Below are 23,887 nucleotides of genomic sequence, written 5' to 3'. Positions count from 1 at the left end.
TGCACACCACCATACCCAGCTAATTTTTGTATATTTTGTAGAAATGTGGTTTTGCCATGTTGCCCATGCTGGTCTCGAACTCCTGGGCTGAAGCGATCCACCTGCCTGGGATTACAAGTGTGAGCCACCATACCCACTCCCATTTTTAAATACTGAATGTGAAACCAATAAAAATTTAAAAAAAAATGTGAAAAGATGCCTTCAGTTATATAATATTGAGAAAATATCAACTATTCATATTTCATACCACACATTTTATTTATTTGTGGTGGCCTTGGGGTGTTTGAGACTATACTCAGTAAAGTCCCTGCCTCAGGCCATTCCCTTGTTGTTATCACTGTGCTCAAATTATACATATGAAAGCTTTGTTTCAAATGAGACCATGCCTAGCTAGTGAAGTTCTTCAAGTTATCTCTGAATAGCATTCATTTTTCAAGTTGTGGTTATTATTATTCTAAAGTAAATTTGCTTTAAAGTAGGTAAAATATAATTTTAAAATATAAGAACTGGTCTCTGTTACATAAACAGCATGTGAGCTGTTCAACAGTACTGTGTCTTTCATGCAGATGCCCTGCCTGGACCAGGATTTGCTGTGTGGACTCCCCCACTGTCTCTTACTCTTGATTTCTTCATCTCCTTATGTGATTTCCAGAATTCCATTCCATGGTCCACAGATCATCTTTACTTTTCCCATTCTTTGCTGACTCCTAAAAACTTTCATCAATTGCTTTAAAGACTTAGAATCCCAGAATTTTTGAATCAAAATGTAGGTTAGAGGTTATGCCCATCCTTCTTATTAGGCCCTAGGATGCAGTCCCTGGGGCCTAATGAAAGTTAGGTGACTTGTCCATCAAAGTCCAGCTGGGGCACAGGTCTTCTGCCTTCTGGTCCAGTGTTCTTCCTACAGTACCAGGATACCTTTGGTTTCCTATCATGACTCTTCCCTGTATAGCTAAACTATATATTCATCCTTCTATGGCTCTCTGTGGGAAATTTTCTTTTTCCTGGGAAGTTTGTCAGGCTTGGTAGGGTCTATGCCTGATTAAGTTTTGGAAGCCATTGTAAGATGGCAATTTCAGTTCTCTCAGGCTAAATACTCCTTGAGCTGAGAAAAAACTTGAAAGGCAGGTGGTCTTGTCAACTGAACAGATACAGCCTAAATACCCAAGAAGGAAGGGTAGTAGATAATTTTCTTTGAAAAGCATTACCAATATCTATATGAAATGACTTGATTTAACTAGATGGTAAGATTTTCTTCCAAAGTTAAAATGTCTTTTTTTTCATACATACAAAGTTCTTATTGATTTAAGTTCTAATCTTTTGAGACATGTAATCTTGGGTCCCAAGAACAGTACCATATAGAAGCTTCAGTATAATGAATTAGGAGATTTTACACAGAAGAAATAGGACTGTAAAAATGAATACCAAAATAACAAGGCCCAACCACAAAAACTCAGTCTCATCTTTGAATTTTCATTTCCCTTCCTTTCCTCTAGCCAATTATCCATTAAGAACTGTTTTTATGACAAGTGACTCTCATATTTATATTTTCATTTCTATTAAACTGGCATCACTTTAGTTGAAGCCTTTATCACCCAAGACCAGATCCACTGGCTTTCTCAATCCATTCTCTGCTACCCAGAGTCAGAATAACTTTGCTTCACTGCTTTTTAGAATGCCTTGTCAAAAATCTTCACAAATTCATGATTGCCTCCAAGATATTATTCTAACTTTTCTGACATTCAAGCTTTCTCAACAATTCAGCTTACATACTCTTTTAAAGTATAACTGTATTATATTTTATTTAGCCAGACAGAGGATTCTCATTGAATCCTCACAACAATCCCGTATGGTAGAATTACATCTCCATTTTACAGATGAGGATAGTGAGGCCTAAAGTTGATTGGCTAGTAAATGGCAAAAGTGAAATAGGAAGCTGGGTTTGTCTAACACAGAAGTCTAGTCTCTTAATCAAACTAATCCTCCAAGCTGATTCTCTCTGCCTTCAGCCAGGTTAGTTTCCTTATAGTCCTAACTATATTTTATTCAGAACTGACTCCAAACTCATATTAGAACATTCACCAGGAATTCCTTTTTTCCCTTCTCTTAGCCTTTCTGAATTTCTTAACATTTTCCAGTAATCACTCACTGACTTATTTATTCATTTGCTAATATTTGTAAACTAATACATCTGAATCTTCTTTATGAGGTATTTCACAGATACTGTAGATGCTGTTTATCTCTTTCTTCTTTAAATAATAAGATCTAGTATCTGAGTACTCATATTTCCTTTGAGTCATACATTACAACACGATCTATGTAAATCTTTTCTTTCTCTTGGAGGGTAACAACTGTGTTTTAGGGTACTTTATACTCTTTTCAGTCCTAATGCAGGGCAATGATTATAGTTGTTATGCAAGAACTACATAAGAAGTGATATAACAGTGAATTAACCTCGTGCTATTTTGCAAGCAACCCATTAAAATAAAAGAATAGTGTTCTGGGCAAACGAAAGGGAATCCTTCAACTAAGGCAACTAATGAATTTTGGGAAGTCCTGATATGAAGTGTGTTTTAAAACAAAACACTTCAAAACTGTCTATTAAGTGTTGGCAAGCGGACATAAACATATTATTGACATTAGCTATCTTTATGAATAATGGCTGACAATTTGATCCACTGTATAAACAAAATAATCTTAGAAGATATTTCAGTGAGATTATAGATAGCTAAAATAAACCAGTTGCCCTTCACTTTATGCAGCCAGACAAGGAAAGAACACTAAATGATAAAATCAAATGCAACTTTGTTGTTAATATCAAGGGAAATGTGATACTCTTAACTAAACTTCAAGATAAAAATCCTCCATAATGGATTTTTATAAATCAATTCTATTCAAGTTTAGCCAAGAAAACACATCACCTTTAGAAAATTATTCTGTTGGCCAGGCGTGGTGGCTCATGCCTGTCATCTCAGCACTTACGGAGGCCGAGGTGGGCGGATCATGAGGTCAAGAGATCGAGACCATCCTGGCCAGTACTCTACTAAAAATACAAAAATTTAGCTCAGTGTGGTGGCAGACACCTGTAGTCCCAGCTACTCAGGAGGCTGAGGCAGGAGAGTCGCTTGCACCCGGGAGGCGGAGGTTGCAGTGAGCCAAGATCACATCACTGCAGTCACTGCACTCCTGCCTGGCAACAAAGCAAGACTCCATCTCAAAAAAAAAAAAAAAAAAAACAAAAAGAAAAGAAAAGAAAAGAAAGAAAGAAAGAAAAATTATTCTGTTACTAAATTTACTTCTTAGAATAATATAATTTATTTTTATTTTAAAAATTAAAAATTACATTTATTACCAACAGATATTAAGTGTCAACTGTGGTTTGAGATTTATTTCACTGCATATTTTAATATGTATTTAACTCACCACATGTATCTATTTAAACTTCACATACAAAGACTATAAATTTTCCATTAAATTCTTGAGAGTAAAAATTTAAAAATAAAAAGTTCCAACTTTCTTCTTTCATTTAAGATTTCAGGTTCCTTAGCAGGAGGTCAGTATTTGGATGTTGCTCTTATCACTTAAAATGTGTTTTAATTGATCTTGCTTAACCTACCAGAGCTTTTGGCCTGAATTTTGTTTAGGCTGATGAGCAACACAAAGTAGAGAAGACACTTGAGTAAAAACAGTGCTGCTTATAGAAATAGGGATTACAAACTAAGAGTGCTTCTTATAGAAACAGAGATTACAAGCTAATGAAAGGAAGCTGAGCTTTTTATTCAAAGTTCAGATACATGGGGGCTCACATCTGTGAGAATTTGTAGCTTTTCTGTTACTCTCTGAAAATAGTTGAAGCCTAAGAATTCTGAATCCATGAGTCTGTAAATATTTTAAGTTTATGAGATTCTAAGTGAAGATACAAAGCTGCTTATTTTGAAAGCAACAGGGCTTATAGTCATATTTCAAAATAGAAATATATTCTAACACCCACTGTTTAAACAATTCAAATTTTAAAAAGTGACAAAAAATTTAAATTCTTAAAATAGTCTCACCTACATTTGCTTCTATTGGTGTTAATACTGGAACATATTACACATATTACATAGTCATTCAGTTATTTGCTACTTGTCAGAAGTTGGGTATCTTAAGCTATTAGTTTGGACACTTTCATGAACTATTTTAAATATACTTAATAAATTGAATGCAAGTATATAAATCAATGCTTTTCACTTTACTAAGCAACAAAACAGAGAAGTGGTGCTGTCATTTCAATGCTCTGTTATCCAAAAGAGCTAAGTCACTGTAGAACTCCCACCAATTGTTTCCCTGAGTGAGATTTCTATGAAGTATTTTATAAGAATTCAAAGTACAACAAATCTTCCTGATATAACAAATGTCCATGTAAACATCAAATTCTAACACATAAAGAGCTCACTAACAATGTTGTGACAATTTCCTTCTTTTGTATGACTGCTTCAGTGGAGAGTCCGTATGCCTGGCATCTTAAAATTCAGGATAAATAAATTAAGAATAAATAATGTGATTCAAATATATCCTGTACTTTTCATTAAAGAAGTCAGTGAGAGAGAAAGTCAAAATTAGGTTATATCAGACAATCAGTCAACAAAATATGCCATGAGCTAAAAGTTTAATGCTTAAGTTTCTGGATTTGATGACCATTATAATATATTTATCTACATAAATAGATATTATGTTTTGATGTTAAAATGAATTACTTAGTTTGAATGAGTCTTTTCATGTAAGTTCCTAATCACATAGCCACTATTGTTCCTGCTCAGAAAACAATAACCTCTAACAAAAATGTATCCTTTGGAAAGGATTTTCTTTCATTACATGCTCTAACAATCCAACTTTAAGGATTTGCAAGGCTTCTAAACACGTTTGTAACAAAATGGTAGACCTGTATTACTGGAAGACGATGACTATTTTTTGGCAACAAATTGCCTGAATTCTCATTTTTTTGGTACATTTTTTTCTCCCTTCCTAAAATTTTCTTCTTCTTGAGTCCCAAGTGTCCCTGTTACCTGATCTTAAAACTTTCCTAAAATCTACTTGAGTCACACAAGATCTAGCTTCTTTGGAGGAAAATGATAACAGATAATTATTGCTGAATAGGATCTAGAAGCTGGTGCCTTTCATAATCCCTATGGTCTATTTTTCTTTTTCGAGCTCAACTTTTAGATTTTTAAATTTATTTTTTAATTTAGCTTTTATTTATTTTTTTTGAGACAGGGTCTGGCTGTGTCACCCAGGCTGGAGTGCAGTGGCATGATCACAACTCAGTGAAACGTCTACCTCCCAGGCTCGAGCAATCCTCCCACCTCAGCCTCCTGGGTACGTAGGACAACAGACATGCACCACCATGCCCAGCTAATTGTTTTCTATTTTTTTGTAGAGACGGGGTTTTGCCATGTTGCCCAGGCCAGTCTCAATCTCCTGGGCTCAAGAAATCCACCTGCCTTGGCCTCCCGAAGTGCTGGGATTACAGGTGTGAGCCACTGCACCGCCCCTTTAAATTCTTTCACTTGTTTCTCCTCTTGGTTTTCCTCTATGGAAAGACCAATTTGAAAGAGAATACCAAAGTCAGGAAATACTAATGATTTCTATGGACAACAACACAAAAAGTGAGAGGTTATAGTGAAAACCATTAAAAGAAATACACAAGAGGCCTGGGAAGAGGGTGTATAAGCATGGAGAGATGATGCTCAACACAATATTTCCTCCCTTTCCTCCTATTTTTCTAACCACAGTTTTCCTATGGCACCTTAAAAATCTCACTAAGTTTGTATAGCTTCAACCCAAAAGTCCAGACTGATCATATTTCCAAATATATATCATTAAAATGATATTAGTGGTTAATTTTATTATTTTTTTCTTAATGATATATTTCTGTATAAAAATGCTTTGGATTTTAGTTTTGATATTTTTGTGAGCACTATTGTTTGGCTGATAGTAACTATGTATATTTTACAAATAGAGAAATTAACAGCTGATAAAAATTTTCTAAGGCCTATGCAAGTATCTAAGCCTTAATGGAAGACTAGTACTAATATTTAATGAAGATAGAAAACATAAATGCATTAGCATATAACTGATATGACTTGTGTGAAAGTTTTTATTTTTTCCTGCTATACCATTTGTAAGTGAATGTTCAAATAACTATTACGCACAAGTGGCAAGCTGGTTTCCTTATGCTGGTGGGTTAAAAAATATAAATGTATAAAGAAAAAGGGATTAAAAAACAGGTGGGGGAGGGGTTTCCTTCAAATGGATGGAAGCCATTCTTTTGAAAGAAAACTCCCCTCTTACCTTGGTCCTGGAGCTGGTTAGTTCTCCTCTGTCCTCCTCCTAGGGGAGAAATACCCAAAGTTAAACAATAATAGAACATGGTCTTGTATTAAAGTCAAGTTCAGTTCTGGTCAACCCTTTCCTCAGGTCTCACAAGACACTACCAAATGTCTGATATACTGGGGCTTTCACTGAATTGAATTTAAAACCCATTTTAAGAATTAAGCCAAAGGGGAAGAGGAAAAAAATATTGTCTGCCCTTCAGTCTGTCTTGCCAGAGAGCTCTAATACCTTGAAGATTGGCTTAGAGTAGGAGTTCACAGAAGGGCATTGCTTGGGTAATTTTTTCAGCTGGAGTGAATAATGGAGGGCGCATCATGGTGGGCACCTGGAGTTCCTTAGGAAGAAGGGGTATGCTGGGGTGTTCTCAGCTCATCTCCCTGACCTTCTTTTGTTTTTTGAGAGTAAAATGATAGTGCTACAAGCAGCACCATGATTGAAGCAATACTAAATCTGATATGAACAATAATTATTGTGAAAATAAAAAAGGAATTAAATGGTCATTAGCTGGGAGAGCTAGAAAAACATCTGAGAAATGGATATTATCAGACACTATGTGCTTGTATTTTTTCACAATGGGAAATGGCAGGATGAATAAAGATGAGATTTTTTTTTTCTTAATTTGTCTCTAAGTAGGATTCTGTGAATTTGGAGAGAAACAAGGCAACATAGTGAGAGGCTCATGGGCTTGGGACCTAGGCAGTAATGGGCTCCAGTTCCACTTCTGTCACTCATCAGCTATTTAACCCGAGTTGCAGCAGCAGCATCTGTCCAGATGAAGATAAAAGCAACAACTACAAGGAGTTAGGGGGATCAAATTCCAGTATATATGGGTGTGCTACATAGTAGTTATTAAATTTTTATTTCCTTTTTTTTTTCCATTTATGTAGTCTCTGATATGGTGTTTTCTTATTTGAATTACTTTATCTCTGTTGAGGCTACTGTCTAATTAACAGAGCTTAGAATCAGGTCCTAGTTACCCTTTGGCATAATTTCAGAGATGGTGGGTGATTGGCTCCCATAAAAAAACAAATACCAGACAATTGATTGAATTCTGTGAGACATGAAGGAGAGTGGAGACCAAGAATGAGCCTGAACCCATACAAGATCATGTGCTATTGTTATTTAACTTTGGGTAACTTATTAAAATTCTTCATCAAGTAAAATGACATCAGGTGAGATAATGGATGTACTTTGGAATCTCAGTTTGTCAAAGTATATTCCAGAGACATCAAAATGAGGGATGTTGTAATCATTATTCTAACAGCCATTATGAAAATGTGCAGGGAAAAAACACTTTATGACAGATTCTATGTTATACAATGATATCTTGTCTCCATCTACTACTATTACCATTTATTTAGTATTAGATTTATCCTGTGAACTTTAATCGTTGTAAAGTTGGATGATATAAATATGGCATGATATAATTCCTCCAACTATAATATATGTGGTTTCCTTTGTGTTCTTCCTTGGTACTCTAACTTCATTCATTGTTTTTAATAAATATTCTAAAAATGGCTATTTTGACAAACCAGCCCTTTTATCTATGAAACATTATAAATTCCTATATATATATATAGAGAGAGAGAGCATTTCCTGTTTTTCTGAAACAAATACCTGCAGAGATGGTAAAGCTGTGCTTAAAATGGGGGGAAAAAGTAAACTGTATTTTATGAAACACCTATTTCATCCATGGTAGTCACTTATATGACAGAGTTTTGAAGACAATATCTTTATATTTAGAAATGATCTGGGAATCTATGAATAAGAATAACTATAGGTATACTGCCTGGATTGGGTAAAATTACAGTGGCTGTGAAGTCTTCATGCTTCAGGGCGTAAAGTGAATGCTATTTGTGATGAGGAGAAAAATGAAAAAGAAATTAGGTAGTGCTGAAGTTGTTAAGGTTGTTACGATGCCCTTAGTAATCACCTTCTCAAGTATTTCATATTGAAACACCACAGGCTACCACATTATGTGGATCAATTTTTAAAATCATACCTAGATATGGAAATAGAAGTTTTGTTCTAAAAAAATCAAAACAAGTCCTTTTATAGGCCTGTGCTTCACTTTTGCTGTTTTATTCCTCCTTTTATATAATCTAATGAATTTTGTCAGATTTGTACCGTGCCAAACATTTGATGTCAGCATACAATTTTGAATGTCTGTTTTTACAGGCATACAAGACCTGCATTTATTTCTTGCTATGTTGTTTCTTACAGAGGAGTGCTTTCCTTAAATAGTTTTCCATTTCACAACGAAGATATGCTGCAATAAAAGCAGCTATTTAGTAAAGAAGTGACTTACTTAAATTCCAAAACCAGCTGAGCTTTTATAGAAGTTCTGAGGGTGAATTTTTTCTCCGTCTTATTAAGTGTCTGCAACTTCAAAGAGGTATGAGAATTTTGTTGTTTTCCTAAAGAGAGCCTAGGGTAAGACTCAGAATCTCAGACTCTCAAAGTGGGAAGGAAATAGAGATGTCAACATCACTGTTTCCTGTCCAGGAGATGTGAGAATCTCTTCTACTTTTACTTGAATAAGTTGGATGTCAGGGATCATAAGCCAATTTCCCCCCATTTTTGGGAAGCAGTTTTAATTGTAAAATCTTTCTTTGTGTTGACCTGAAAGCTACATAATTTTTTCAACTCAGTGAGAGTTTATCTAGTTTTTAAAATAAGCTAAAATTTATGGAAGTTGAACTCTATGTGGATATTTTCAATATGCCTTGAATTTATGTGTTGCCAAAACTGCAGCATGAAAGCATCACAAAAACTGTTTAGTAAGTTTTCAGAGTGAATCTATGTTTATACTAAAAAGTCATTTTTTGTTCTCTTCCCTTAAGAGCACCGGAGATTGTCAGAAGATCTCATTTCTAGTCTTAGCTGTAGGACTGTGGGCAAGTCACCGTAAGTGTATTATACAGTTCCTTCCTCTATAATAAAACGACATCATAAGAGGGTTTAACATACCATGTGAAAAATATATATATATGTGGAAGTGGTTCAAAAACTATAATGCTGAACTGTACTATTATTGTTTCACTTAAATATGCTGCTCTGTAATTTTTGGTGTTTATATGAGCCAAATTTAAGCATAATCTTTTAAAAGTGGACAATTTGGAAAGAAAATTAAATGATGTATTTAACTAATTCTATGGCTTATACAATATTATTACTGTATCACTTAGTAGAAATGAACTGTTTTTTTTGTTTTAGTCCTGTGCCATTTTTCCTCTGGGAGACAATCTGAAGTCAACTTTTCCTGGGTCCTATTCAATTCTATTTACCTCTGACTAGCTTCAGATATAAGCCAAAGGTTAGGGGACTGTTTTAGGACTCTGGATACACGGTTTCATTTTAAATTTCCTCATGCTTTTTAAGAAAAAAATTTACTTTTTATGCTAAAGGCACTAGCAATGCAAAATAGGTATACTTGCTGATAATGCTTTTATGATTTTTTGTGGTTCTAGTTGCAAATGCCTGAAAAGATGAGAATTTAGGGACTAGGGAGCTGATGATGTCTTTTCTTAGTTACTAATAGGATTTTGGCCTGTTATTATTACAAAATGAAATATTCAGAGGCCGCTTATCTATCAGGACCAAATACAAAACAATCACTCTTCTATAACAGCAGAGGCCCTGTTGGTAGCTCTTGCCAGTTTTTATATAGGCCTCTGTGTAGTGAAGCAACAACAGAAAGGGGGCTATATACTCTCATATTGCCTTTGAAAGTCAGAAGCTGTTTGTGTCACATTTGTTTGATTGACTCCAATTGAATTCTTATTCTGGCTAACTCCCAAATATTTAGCACTTAAAGAAAACAGATTGAATTTTTAACATTTCTGTAGAAACTTATCTGTGGGTCAATTTCTTCATTGAGTACACCAGAATTAAAAAAAAATTAAAGAAAGCTCAATAAAATCTAGTTTACTTCAACAGGATATAATACGACTTTGTGTGGTTGATGGTATTTAAAATGATAGTTTTCTCTAATGCTTCAGCATTGTGTACATTGAAAGGTGGAGTTAGAACTAGGGATGTTGTTGTGTCTTTAAATTTTCTTTATTTTTGAATTGTGTGATGTTAAAGGTGTATATTAAAATGGCTTCACAAAGTTTTTGAAAGTATATTTCATTCTGTAGACATCTGTTAACAAATATTTTTAGATTTTCATGAAGTATGAAATTTGTTCATTTAAAAGAAACTACATTCAATCATAAAAAAAGACTTTTTTGATGCTAGGGAGGATAAACAATATTTTCACAATATTTCTAACTTCTGTTAATATAAAAATTATTTACAAAATCTTCTCATAACCAACATAATGCTTGTTTCTGAGAAGGCTCAGGACTAGGGTTAGGTTTTTTGAAGAGCTGAATGGCAATTTTCTATTCTGATGTTGTCAGGTGGTGTACGATACTGTATATTTGTGTCAGTTATCTCAGATGTATGTTATTTCATTTTGAAAACAGAGTTAAGTGATTGATTATTTTGGAGAGGAACAAATGTTAAAATAAATGAGCTACAGTTTTTAATTTTTAGTGAAATTAAAATAGAATATAATTCTAAACCAGAGTCATTGCTATTCTCCAGCTCATTCTAAATGACTACCAAACTATTTTATCTTTTTTTTAAATTAAATGTGAATCGTAAAGTAGCCCCATCTTGATTGATGCTATCTTTAGAGACAAAAGGAAGCTAATGACACCTAAAGTTGTGGATGAGTGCTTTCCCATATGCTGTGCTGAAACAAAGGAGTACATTTTCAGTTTTGCAGAAAACCATTATTTACTTATGATGTACCAAGTAAATGTTTATCATTAGCATAAAACTGCATTAAAGCAGCATCATATACAATTCTTCACTGAAGGGTAGATTATATATCCACAATAAAGTGAGCTATTTATAGTATTGTATTATAGGCATTTTGGATTTTTATGGTAAACCTGATTACCATAACTCCCTCCAAAGCTCTGTGTTGTGTGCCTGCATGTGTTTGTCTAAAATATTCTCCACGTCTACCTATTGCAAATATAAAGAGCTACTTCCTCCCTCTATTCTTTATTTTTATTTTTTTGAGACAGGGTCTTTCTCTGTTGCTCAGGCTGGATCTTGTGTTGCCCAGGCTGGAGTGCAGTGGTGCAATCTTGGCTCACTGCAACCTCCACCTCCTGGATTCAAGTGATTCTCCTGCCTCAGCTCCCGAGTAGCTGGGACTATAGGTGCACCACCATGCCTGGCTAATTTTTCTATTTTTTGTAGAGTCAGGGTTTCGCCATGTTGCCCAAGCTGGTCTCGAACTCCTGACCTTAACTGATCTGCCCGCCTCAGCCTCCCAAAGTGCTGGGATTACAAGAGTGAGCCACTGTGCCCAGTGCCTTCCTCTGTTCTTCAGTCCTTCTGTACTCTACCACCACGCTGTCAGCTAAGAGGGCCCTGGGATCATAAGGGGAGGAATCCACTGCGGTGTGATTTTAATGCTTCTCTTCTTGGCCTGTTGTAAGAGTGAATGTAAGAGTTAAGGTCTCTCAGAAGAAGGTAATGGTTCCTCCTTCTGCTCAGCCTGTGCTGAGGCCACCTAGGGTGCCTTCTTCCTGGCACTCTTTCCTTTAGGAACGTCAATCTGGAGAATAGAAGCCAACACAAATGATGTGCAAACAACAACAACAATAGCGAATATGTCACTTGACTTTTGCTGCTGTTCTGAAGATAAATTGAGAGCCACTCGTGAACTGAATGTAAGCCACTTTATAGAAGTCATGATCCTATAACCTGAGATCCTATAGTGGAGAGTAATTAATCTGACATATTTTCTTTAATAATTTAGTATAGACAGGGCTGAAGAGTAGCTTTGCCACCATGGTCAGAATCTATAGTATGCACAGCAGAAACAAAAAAAATATCTTTCTGGGAGAATTTAAATATGGGTCCAGAGAATGCTTAGAATGAGGAAATCAAGGCCAATTAAATAGAAAGGGAATAGCACGGAAGCTTCGTGCATTCATATCTACTTTGGTTACTTCTAAGTAAACTGCCAAACATTTTGGTAGCAGTTTATCTTGTCAAATTTGATCCCCTTTGAAGTGGGAGAAACTAAAATGGCCAAAAATTACTCATTTTCTCAGGAAAGTTACTAAAATACAACTTCTAAGTGTAGTGGTAAGGAGAGCAAAAGGCTAACCCTTGAATATAGAAACTTTTCAATTTGGTGTTACCTACTCAGGCTGCTATAAAGCATCTCAAGAATGAACGACTTAAAAAATACTGATAAATTCTCAGTTGGAACCCACTCAGGAGTCATTTGTTGAATGAACTGTCAAAAGATTGAGGGCAAATCATTTTAGCATTTTTTTTAACTAATGGGAAGAATCACAAACATGTATAATGCCTTGTGAGTCTTAAAGAAATGTAGAAAAAAAGCAACGTTTGTTTCCTTCTTCATGAGGAGTTGTAATTTTAGTTATCTTTTAATTAAATAGGAAGGATTTAAATGAAAAATTTAGAATTCAAAATGGCCCTGGTAAGTTTCATCCTTCCTAGTGTAGTGAACATCTGGAAAGAGAGGAATGCAGTATATAGATTCTATTGTGCAATTATTTTTCCCTGGGACACAAGTGGCATTGATACCTTTACCATGCGATGTCTTAGTTTGTAAATGCAAAATACTTGGTACACACAATAAACACCAGTATACTTAATAGCAAACTAGGTAGCTCTTGTAAGCATATCTCAGAAAAGATTTATGTGTGCTTGTGTGTGTATGTTGAGAGATGCAAATGATTTTTGTTGTGTGTGTTTGTCTAATCCTTAGCCCAACAGACTGTATCTCAAAATATAATGGGATTACAAAAAATAAGTTATCTATAGCATCTTTTAATATGGCACTAAAAATGAAGGGTATTCATAAGCAAAGATATATCTCTTTTCATAATAGTTAAAATAAATGTGTTTGTGTACCAACCCACTGCAACTAATTTCCACAACGCATGTTAAAAGTTTCTTCATTTGAGGCCAAAGTATACTCAGTACTCAGCTTTAGATTTCTGTACGTTTACGTTTTTCTAGTATCTACTTTAAATACTATCAGTTGACTTGTTTATAATACCAAAAAAAGACTAAAATATTATTCTCACACAAAATATCCAGCAAACTGCTTTTTCCTAAACCGTCTAAGTACTTCACAAACCTTCTAAGTACTCCTGAACTAAAGTATATATCCCACAAATTTTATATGTGAAAGTAGCTCCTTAGGATAATAACATTTTTCACACATGAATTTGCATACTAAGTTTAATACACCTGCCCCAGCAAATTCTCTAAAGTGGAAGAAAAATAATTTGACCTACATAGAACTCTACTCACTCCAATGTAGATCTAGGCTAAGGCCAAGTGTCTTATGAGGCCAGTAGTTTTGTTCAATACTGAAAGGAAAAGTCCAATGAGAGATGTGGTATTCTAATTCCCATGCTGAGTATTTCCTCCCCCTGCCGTGCTATTGCTGTGGGGCTCTGAGTTGCCTGTTGTAACCTAAACATGATGTGCTTGGTTTCAATGGATCGGTTCCTGTTGCCATGGGTTCCTGCAATTTGGCATTGCCAAGTACAACTGGGCCTCATTTTTTCCAGGTCTCACCCCCTGAAGCAAGTTCTATTGGAACTGCTTTCTTTTAAAGCATCTTTTTATTTTTATTTTTTTTCAGTGACAGAACATTTGTTTTACTTTAGACACAGTTCCACAAACCTCTTTAGAGGAGGCAAAGTTTGGATGAGAATTATCACTGTTGAATAATAAAAGTATAGGTGACTAGAGTTTTTAACTTGGCTTCAAACATTAGGGTCAAGTATACAAATCATTCTAAGCGCCAGAGGAAGTGTTCAGATATGACTCACTGCTTTGTTGTCCGGAGGTATTTACAGACACTAGATACTATGAATATCTTTAAAAGGGTTATTCTCATCTAACAGCTACTTAATAGTAAATCTATGTCAACCGAATGATGATTCGCTCCAAAGAACCTTTAACAGGTTTATTTATTACATAGTAAAGTCAATAGTCTAGTAACCAGTGTAGTATGGATACTGTAGCAAAGTTGATAGTATTTTGACAGTAATGTATGCAACTTTATTATACCATAAATACTATAGTATAGTAGATGTCTATATTATAATCAACTTGTATATTAAAGTTGATAGTGTTGATAGTATTGAGAGTAAAGTCAAAATAAATATACTTCCTCTTTCTTCTAAACTTTACATTCCATTGCAATGCCATCGAAACTGTATATTTTAAAACAATCTTTGGACATTTCTCAACCAGAGAAAGGTTTTCACAATTGTTTCGGATTGCCAAGGGGACTGGGAAAGGGAGGAGAAAGAAAACCATGGCACTGATAGAAGTATAAATTGTACTGTGCATGTGAAAAAAAGATTCCAGATCAATATACCTGGAATTGTTCTGTCACTTGAGAACTGGAGAATCTATATCAAAATACAATAAACCAACAATTTCTGGCCATTGTTATTAGTAAGTGATAGATCAGTGGTTTTAAATTTAATTGTGTTATGTCCAGCAAACACTAGTCTGAAATAAAGTCTGAACGGTAAAGAGCTCTGTAAATCATTCTCTACTGTAAGGACAGGTGCTAGTCACCATTGCTGTGATATTTTTCAGTCCAGTTACAGATCTACTGTTTGAGATGATCCTTATTGCATTTGTTTTAAAGTCTGCATTAAATACCCAAGTCCTAATTTTCAATTCTGGTTATATATCGTACTCTCTCCTCTTTTCTGTGACATATTTTTCTGAAGCACTTTAAACATACAGCAAGACCTGGAAATTTAAAACTCCCTAGACCAATGGAACATAACTAGTCATTTGTCTGCATTCTCTGTTTAAGTGTAAATAGAAGGACAGATTACTGTTTTCTTTTGCTTAAAGTCTGACATTGCCTAATGAATCTGAATAGCAGAGTTTGTGAGAAAGCCATTGTTAATGACAAGGCAATACAAAAGTCTCACTACATCCAGAACTATTAACCTAAAGACCTGATTAAAAAAAGATAGATTGTTTTGGAAAACAGACTTAAGTCTCTACAGAACTGAATAAGACAGAAAGGTTTCAAAGACTTTGATACAGGTATGTTCTCTCGACCTTGCTCTGATGAATACAATTATTTTGAATTTGCTTCTACAAACTAAATCATTTATACAGAAGGTGACTATTAGTCCATCTCTGTATTAGTTTGCCTCATTTGAAGCAGAAGAATCCTAGTTGGATAAGAATGAGAATTTAAGCCTGATGAGTCTCCCGCTTAGATGGCTGAGGATGAGACAGAGAGGAGGTGGGGTGAGGTGCATGCTGGTCAGCCTTCAGTGCCCTTCCAGTGTTCTCAAAGGCAGGACAAAATGACTGCGGTTTTGGCAGGCAGGAGCCAGCTTGCTCAGGAAATTGTGGCATATATAAAACAAAGTGCATAAACAAACTCTCCATCCAGGAAGCTGAATTTAACAATTGCCTCATTAACAAGGTCCAGGGAAGGACAGGAAAAGAGGGGGAAGCCAATGGGTGATTATTATACAGTTCTGGACAGATGAAGCCCTTCAGCTTTTCCCCAAACAATCCCTGTAGTGTGGATTTGACAAAGTGGCACATTTAAGAGGGAACTCTCTTGCCATTAATGGGAGTCAGGCAAACCCGTCACTGAAGGCCAAATTCAGTCCCTGAAGCTTGACTTTATCAGTAGACACAAGACAGAGGACAAGGCAGCTATATCCACAGAGAATTAATTAAGTGCAAGAGAGACATCCAGTGAATGTAATCAATAGTCTGAACACTGATCTACATATCAATCACCATTGCATTTTTCCCTCCTATTTTTAAAAAATTATTTACGCTAAGGTGCTCTCAAAAACCACGCCTTCAACAGAGATTTATTTACTACTTGGCCTCATTGAAATTATATATTCTTCATATTGCATCACACAAAATAAACCCTCAAAGATGAAACAACCTGATGCCAGTTTAAGTTTCTGAATAGTTGAAATTGTTTTTGGGTAGAATATATTATGGATAATTTATTTGTTTGGCTTTCTCCCTGCACATTTCTTCAATTTCATATGGAATGTATGTTAATAAGTCTGACTTCAGAATTGCCACAGTCCATAACCAAATTTGTCTTTACTGGCTAGTTTTGTTTTACCTCTTTTTAATGCTGTACTTTTTGTGACATACTATAAAACCCCTCACTAATTATTACACTGTTGCTTGCAAACACAATATATTGGTTTAACACAACCTTTTCCATTACTGGTGTTTGTTTCTTATATCTCTCTCAACCCTTCCCAAACCAACACACATATCAAAGCACATTGCAGTTACCCTTTTGAAACCAATGAAAACAAGTATAATATTTATATTGCTTTCATTTGTACTAGGCAATAGTACAGGTCTCATTACCTTCACTTTTCAATGGCTTACCAGAGGCATCACTTTTTAAGATCAGGTTCTTGGTTAAGTCCTTTGGCAAAGATTCTGATTTCCTCTTGAATCTGTGCTTTGTATACATTTCTCCTAAGCAGCACTGAGACCAGAGTAATTTGTCGATCATCACTTTTGATGGGATCCAGCCCCATCAATTCAACAGCAGCCTTTATTGCTTAAGGAAAAGAGGAAATTCTGCCTCCTGGACATAAACATGTGAATTTTCTATGTCCAGGACCAAAAGGATGAAAAGGGCAGATTTAACCAATATTTCCATAAGAATGAAAGTCTCACTTAATCCACACATGTAATGGTTTGCTCATTAACCACATTTCAGGGGTCTATCTGTAAGCATTTTTGGATTGCCATTGGGTCTAATTTTACAGATCTTACTTACACCACACTCCCTTTAAAATAGGCAGGAGTGTGACTTGAGTAAGCACTATAAAACCAGAGCTCATTTTTTCCTCTGACTGTGATTGCTTTTATAAATAGATGTTATTTCAAACTTAGCATGAATACAACCTCAAGATAATCTCCAATAGAAAGATGCCATAATAAATAAAATATTGAAATGGAAAAAAAGTGGTTTGCTAGAAAAAGGTTAATTTCTTCTTACTCAGAGACTAGTGGCCAGGCATAATTAAAAAAAAATGATAAAATGTAGAATTATCACTGACATGATGGTAGTGTAGATATTGGTGGCCAAAAAAATTTGATGAGATATAAAGAAGCATATGCTACCCATGCCTTAGGCCCACTGGAAGCAGCTAGTGTTCAACCAGTTTGGTTTTTATATGGCCTTCAAAGATATATGTCAACAAGGATTAATCATTCCAAAATTAAAAAAAATTACCTGATTGTTGACCAAAATATATGAAATGGAGAAAAAGAAAACAAACAAACAAACATACCATGTTCACACACAAAACAAAATAATTCTCTCAGGCACATCAGGGAAGGTGGAATACTATAACAACACATGTTATATTGTTATACTATTCCACCCACCTTAATGAGGAACCCTTGGGCGTTGCTACTCCATAGCCTTTGGAATCCAGATTTCCTCCCACTTTCATCGTGTCACATGGCTTTCGCTGCTCAATGTATTCATTCATAGTGGACTCCAGGAGAAAGGCAAATTTGCCCTTGGATTTGCGGACACGAGCTACTCCCTCAGCTGTAGTCCTAGTGAATACTGATGGCTCTGCTGATCGCATGTAGGTCCACATCTTTTCATACACTGCTATTTTTGATCTCTGGAGGAAATTAAAATAAAATTAAATACAGGAAAGAAGGGAACAACATGTTAATATTCGCTGAACCAAGATAAGAATAAAGCGTTTTAGTATCTTTCCATTGCTCTCTAACTCCAATTTGCCACAGAGTAACATAATAGTAATATTATTATTTTCAAATAGGAAAACTGCCTTTTAACACTGTTTAAGGAAATCATGGAAATGATAGACATTTAAAAGTGATATCTGAAGAAGCCCAAACCTCTTACCATAACAGTTACCACACTCACCTGCTTAAATAGTAATCTATTACTGTTTTTTTCTATGTAGACTGCCATGAAGAGACTTGAACATTTAAAATCATGTTTTATATCACATTCATGGTAAACTTAAAAAAAGCTAAGATTTTATTTCAAGTTTGTAAAATTCCTTTTAATACTGTATTTTATTTATAACAAACAAGGAGGGTTGTTTTATTTTATTTTTTTTTAGAGTTTTTTGGAGACAGGGTCTTCCTGAGTTGCCCAGACTGGAGTGCAGTGACATGATCATAGCTCACTGTAACCCACAACTCCTGGGCTCAAGAGATCCTCCCGCCTCAGCCTCCTGCATAGCTTGGACTACAGGTGCATGCCACCATGTCCAACTAATTAAAAAAAAAATTTTTTTAAAGATGGGATCTTGTTATGTTGCTCAGGCTGGTCTCAAACTCTTGACCTCAAGCAATCCTACTGCCTCAGCCTCCCAAAGTGCTGGGATTACAGGTGTGAGCCACCATGTCTGGCTGTTATTTTATTTTTATCTTTTTTCATGCCCCCAAATTTTAGTGTACATGATTCTAGTAAGATATATACAAAAATACAGTCCATATCAAGTCAGTAATTGAACACCAAAGGAAGAGGCAAAACCTGGTATAGCTTACAAACCAAATATCCCTAACACAAGAATCAAACTCTAGGTTGATTGAAACATTTTTAGACTTTTTCTGAGAAAATTTTCAAATAGAACATATATTGAACTTTAAAGAGAAGTGATTCCTATTTTCCAATTTTGTGTTCTAGGGAGTTGGTCATTCTAATCCCCTTGACTCCAGCCAAGAAACTTATTTATATTTGTAAATTACTTCTGTCTACTTGAGCTCTATCTATTAATACATTACTCTCACTACTTAATTTACCCAGGTCCTTTTTCTTGTTATCTGCATTTGCATTAAATTTTTCATTCGCACATTTTTAGTGAACTGAAATGTCTCCAAAAGATATATTTATTAATATAGGAAAGCACTGGCCAGGTGCCGTGGCTCAGACTGTAATCCCAACATTTTGGGAGTCTGAGGCAGGTGGATCACCTGATCATAAAGTTCAATATGTGAGATCAGGAGTTCAAGACCAGCCTGGCCAACATGGTGAAACCCTGTGTCTACTAAAAGTACAAAAATTAGCTGGGCATAGCAGCGCATGCCTGTAGTCCCAGCTACTAAGGGGGCTGAGGCATGAGAATTGCTCAGACCTGGGAGGCAGAGGCTGCAGTGAGCCAAGATCATACCACTGCACTCCAGCCTGGGTGACAAAGTGAGACTCCATCTAAAAAAAAAGAAAAAAAGAAAAGAAAAGCCTGAATCTTGTCTGGTGCAACTGCATTTGTTTTCAATAACAAGGGGCTGCAATTTTGTATCTGAATCCAAAAAAAAAAAAAGTGAAGACCTCATTCAGACTTACGTCTTTGTGTGAGGCTCAGTGCTGAGTAGTGTGTACATTTATTTACATTGAGCTTCCTTTGTTTACCAAAATATAGAATTCAACAAGAGGCAGTTCTTTACTAATCAACATATAACTTGAATACCTGGGCAAAGACAAATTATTCAGGTGGACAAAGAAATAAATGAATAAAAGTGGGATTCAAATTTTTGATTTCATAAGTTCGGAAATAAGTAATCAAGAAACCTAACTAATAAACCACACAATCACTGATTTGCAAACTTGAACACCAAAGAAAAAGATATTTTATGGTAACTATATTCATTTTTTTTTTGAGGGGGCAGATGGAGTCTTGCTCTGTCACCCAGGCTGAAATGTAGTGGCATGCTCTTGGCTCACTACAACCTCTGCCTCCCAGGTTCAAGCAATTCTCCTGTCTTAGCCTCCTGAGTACCTGTGATTACAGAAACCCGCCACCACACCCAGCTAATTTTTGTATTTTTTTAGTAGAGACGGGGTTTCATCATGTTGGCCAGGCTGGTCTCGAACTCCTGAGCTCAGGTAATCCACCGCCTCGGCCTCCCAAAGTGTTAGGATTTCAGGCGTGAGCCACCACACCTGGCCAGTAACTTATATTCAAATGTTGATAAATATCAAGGTGGGAAATTGACATCTTTTAGTATTTTTTATAATGTTTTTATGCTATTAACACTTGAAAAAATATCTCATGATATGAAGATTGGTGTGTGTGTGTGTGTGTGTGTGTGTGTGTGTGTGTGTATTTAGGCAATGACAGGATACTTCTGGCAACAGAATCCTCATATTAGAAAATTTCAGTGATTCTATATCCTTCCAGGACTGATGAGTACTTGGATTCCAAATCCTCAAGTACAGAATCCACTAGGAATGCCATGTTGCCATGCTTCATTCATTCCATCTCTAAAAATAGAGTTCTGTTCCAGAGAACAAACTCTTTCATTTTACAAGTTCTGAAAAATATTGCCTCTCTGATTCACTTGATACAGGTTGTCCCTCAATATCTATATTGATAATTTTAATTTTTACAGAAGTACTGGTAAACTTCCTTTAAACATATAACTACTTTTTAAATATATTTAAATCTTGACTTGAGAGTTTCACCCAAAAAGGTATAGAGCTCCACATACATTGTATACTTTACTATGTACACGACATAGAAAACAGAAGAAATAAAATCAGTGTGAATATTGTTTTAATTGAGCTATTTTATGGAATTTATTAAGAATATGAAAACCATGCTAATTACTTGGCAACTTTCCAGTTACAAATAAGTGGTTTATTAAAGGAATAGGACAGTTAAACAAAACTAACACAGCAAAATGGAAAAAGTGTGTTTTTAGGGTTTGGTATTTATAGAGATCACTTAACTATAGAATGCAGCATAGTATTAAAGCAAATAAATCTTTTTAAAAAGAATAAAGTATCTTTTACTTTTTAATAGTCCATTTCTATATATTAGTATGTGGAAAATTACTGCTGCATTTGTTTAAATACATTGAATTATGTATACCTTAAATGCAAAATAAGTTGAACTAATCCCTCTAAAATCTGGAAGAAAGAGGAATCCACAGAGTAGCTATGCTAAATATAAGAGGGTTTAGTACACTAGAAATGAAAAAATACAGATAAAATGGAAAGATAAAAGCAAGTTTTTGAAAAAAGAAATTAGCCTGGTTTGTCACCATGCTAATCTTTAGAAAATCTGATTCTGATAAGATCATATACACAGGACAATGGGATGAAGGGGAATCAAGGGGCGTAGGACTGGAAGTAATAGCCCTGTGCCTTATCTGTGACTGCAAGAGAGTGATTGCTAAGGAGTGAGGACAAGCAAATATTCATAAATTTGATGAGACAGGCTAAAATGAAGAAAATTTCTGCAGATCCAGCAAGCCCAGTAGGTCTCTGTATCAAATGTCACTGTATCAAGTACAGTGATAAAGGAACATTTAAGTCCCTAAAACCTTCAACTGTAGTGTCTGTTTAAAAACTGTGGTGTGGGAAGTGAAAAGATAGAAGTCATTATTGTTTGAAATTAGAAAATTAATCTCAGATCGATTTATTTCATCTTTATTGTGAAACTCAAAGCATGGGGAACTATCTGATCTAAAACACTGTTTTATTGCTTAAAACAATTCTTGGAATTAAAAGAATGTGCTATCCTTTTACTTTTCCCTAAATTAAGTATTCCACCATTTCTGCTTCTAATAGAAACTGTGTACAAATGTCATGTGTTATAGTTAATGTTTACATTGCTATCCGGTGAATTATTTTCCCCTTCTAGTAGCTTACTTGGCAAGACTGATGTTCTAGTGACAGCTCATCAATGCATTATTTGGTAATATCATAAACCCTGAGATAGTAATGCACATCATTTATGCATTCACAGTTTCACTGATGACTGAGACAGGCACAGGATAAAACTGCATTGAAATGAAGATCACTGTGTTTAAGTCAGGTGTGTGATAATGTGAAAGTACCAAAACAGCGAGGCTGGCATTAAGTGACAAGTACAGACTCTTTAAATGCCTCTATATTTAGGCTCACCATGGCACATAAAACATGAAGTATATAAAGTTTCATAATGGGGCAAAACCAAGGCAATAGTTGAATTCAGATGTAGTTTTCCCCTGTGGCTTAATTCTTTTTTCAGTTGATTATAACTGTGGCATTTTTTTGAAGCACTGAGTATAGGTCATTGCCTGAGGCAGCCTAGTGGAGCTGATAGATGTACCATTATTGTGTTCCTATGAGAAAATGATTTTGACAGGTACAAAAATACCCTTCACATTCTGGTTTCCTCAGCCCATCAGACAAATGGTTTATTTAAACCAGGTCAACATGTATGGGAGAGGAGGGAAGCAAACAGGGTAGGAAATGAATGAGATTTTTATCAAAGAACCCAAATTTATGCATTCCTGAAAGCGTGTTGCCAGGGGAAATTATTTTCTTGTCCCATTAGAGTTCAGAATGTTCTGCAACAATAGATACCTATATTATAAAAATCTTCCAATTTAAAAACTGAAGTTGGGTTGGAGAGAAAGGAAACAAGGAATGGTGCTTGCACAGTTTGTATGGAAGACTATAAATCTAGGAAGCAGGTTTCCCCATTCTTATATTTCTCTTAATATATTCTCTTATCTACCTCACCAGTTCTTTGAATTTAAGCATTTGTAACTTTATAAAGATTAGATATACACATTTTCAGTGTGCTTAATGCTAAAGAGCTTTACAGTGAGTTACTTTTGAAATATTTTCACAGAATCAATATAGCATTTCTTCTTCCCTTTATCACTCAAGGCAGAATGATGAGCCTGCAAATAATGTCTTTATTTAAATGACAATCAGTCATCAATTTTCAGTAAAGTGCAAATGATAGCACAAACTTGTATTTTATTTTGGTGCATATACATAGTAATTTTTAGGCGAAATCGTTAAATTTTACGTGCTTACTTATATGGATGGGAGCAGTTATAAACCGGCAGCACGGTACTGAAATTATGCTGAAATACATTAGAGTAGTAATGTTTCTATTATTAAGCTGTAGAAATAGGGATGTGCTAGGTAAGTTAAAAAAAGTTTGTTTAATCAAGTTTATCCATAGACTATTGTTAATCAAATCTACTGTCATGAATATTACTTACAGTTTTAAGAAAATCTATTAAGTGTTTTGTAATTAACTTATACATCTTAGATTATACCTAATAATACTCCAAATTGTTGACAAGTACATTGTTCATTGTCTGGTTTCTTTTCTAAACAATGCCCAGGGATGAATTTGAGTTTTTGAGTGATTTGCTCTTGATATGATATTATGTAAACATCTAAAGTATATTAGGATACTATAATCAAATTTTCTTTAAAAAGGATAAATATCTTACAGAAATTCAAGTATACAAAAGTTAAAGCTGGCCTAAGGAGTAGCACATTTTGTTGTTTATAATTGTTAAGCTGAATTGAGTGAGAAGATTATAAATAAATACATTTAAAATGGAAATGTAATCTCTCAAGTGCTGTATGTAGGCACGAACAAAGAGCTATTACTACTTTCCCATGAAAGCT

General features: G+C 35.1%; 1 protein-coding gene across 24 annotated transcripts in view; it reads right to left on the bottom strand.

Annotated features, from left to right (window-relative positions):
* GRIA4 (glutamate ionotropic receptor AMPA type subunit 4) overlaps window positions 1–23,887 on the bottom strand; it is a 372,097-nt gene that overhangs the window by 30,259 nt on the left and 317,951 nt on the right. For 18 of the 24 annotated variants that reach the window (NM_001440383.1, NM_001440386.1, NM_001440388.1 and 15 more), the window contains one exon: window positions 17,863–18,110. The exons of 4 other annotated variants lie outside the window; for them this stretch is intronic. In NM_001440383.1, the coding sequence (NP_001427312.1) occupies window positions 17,863–18,110 (248 nt within the window). Of the gene's footprint in view, window positions 1–233; window positions 6,370–17,862; window positions 18,111–23,887 lie in introns of those variants that run through there. 2 more of the 24 variants (NR_046356.2, NM_001440397.1) reach the window with 2 other exon arrangements.

The sequence above is a fragment of the Homo sapiens genome, chromosome 11, assembly GCF_000001405.40.
Source record: "Homo sapiens chromosome 11, GRCh38.p14 Primary Assembly".
NCBI lineage: Eukaryota > Metazoa > Chordata > Mammalia > Primates > Hominidae > Homo > Homo sapiens.
Note: the sequence above shows the minus strand (reverse complement) of the source record. Positions and strands in the feature narration are given on the sequence as shown.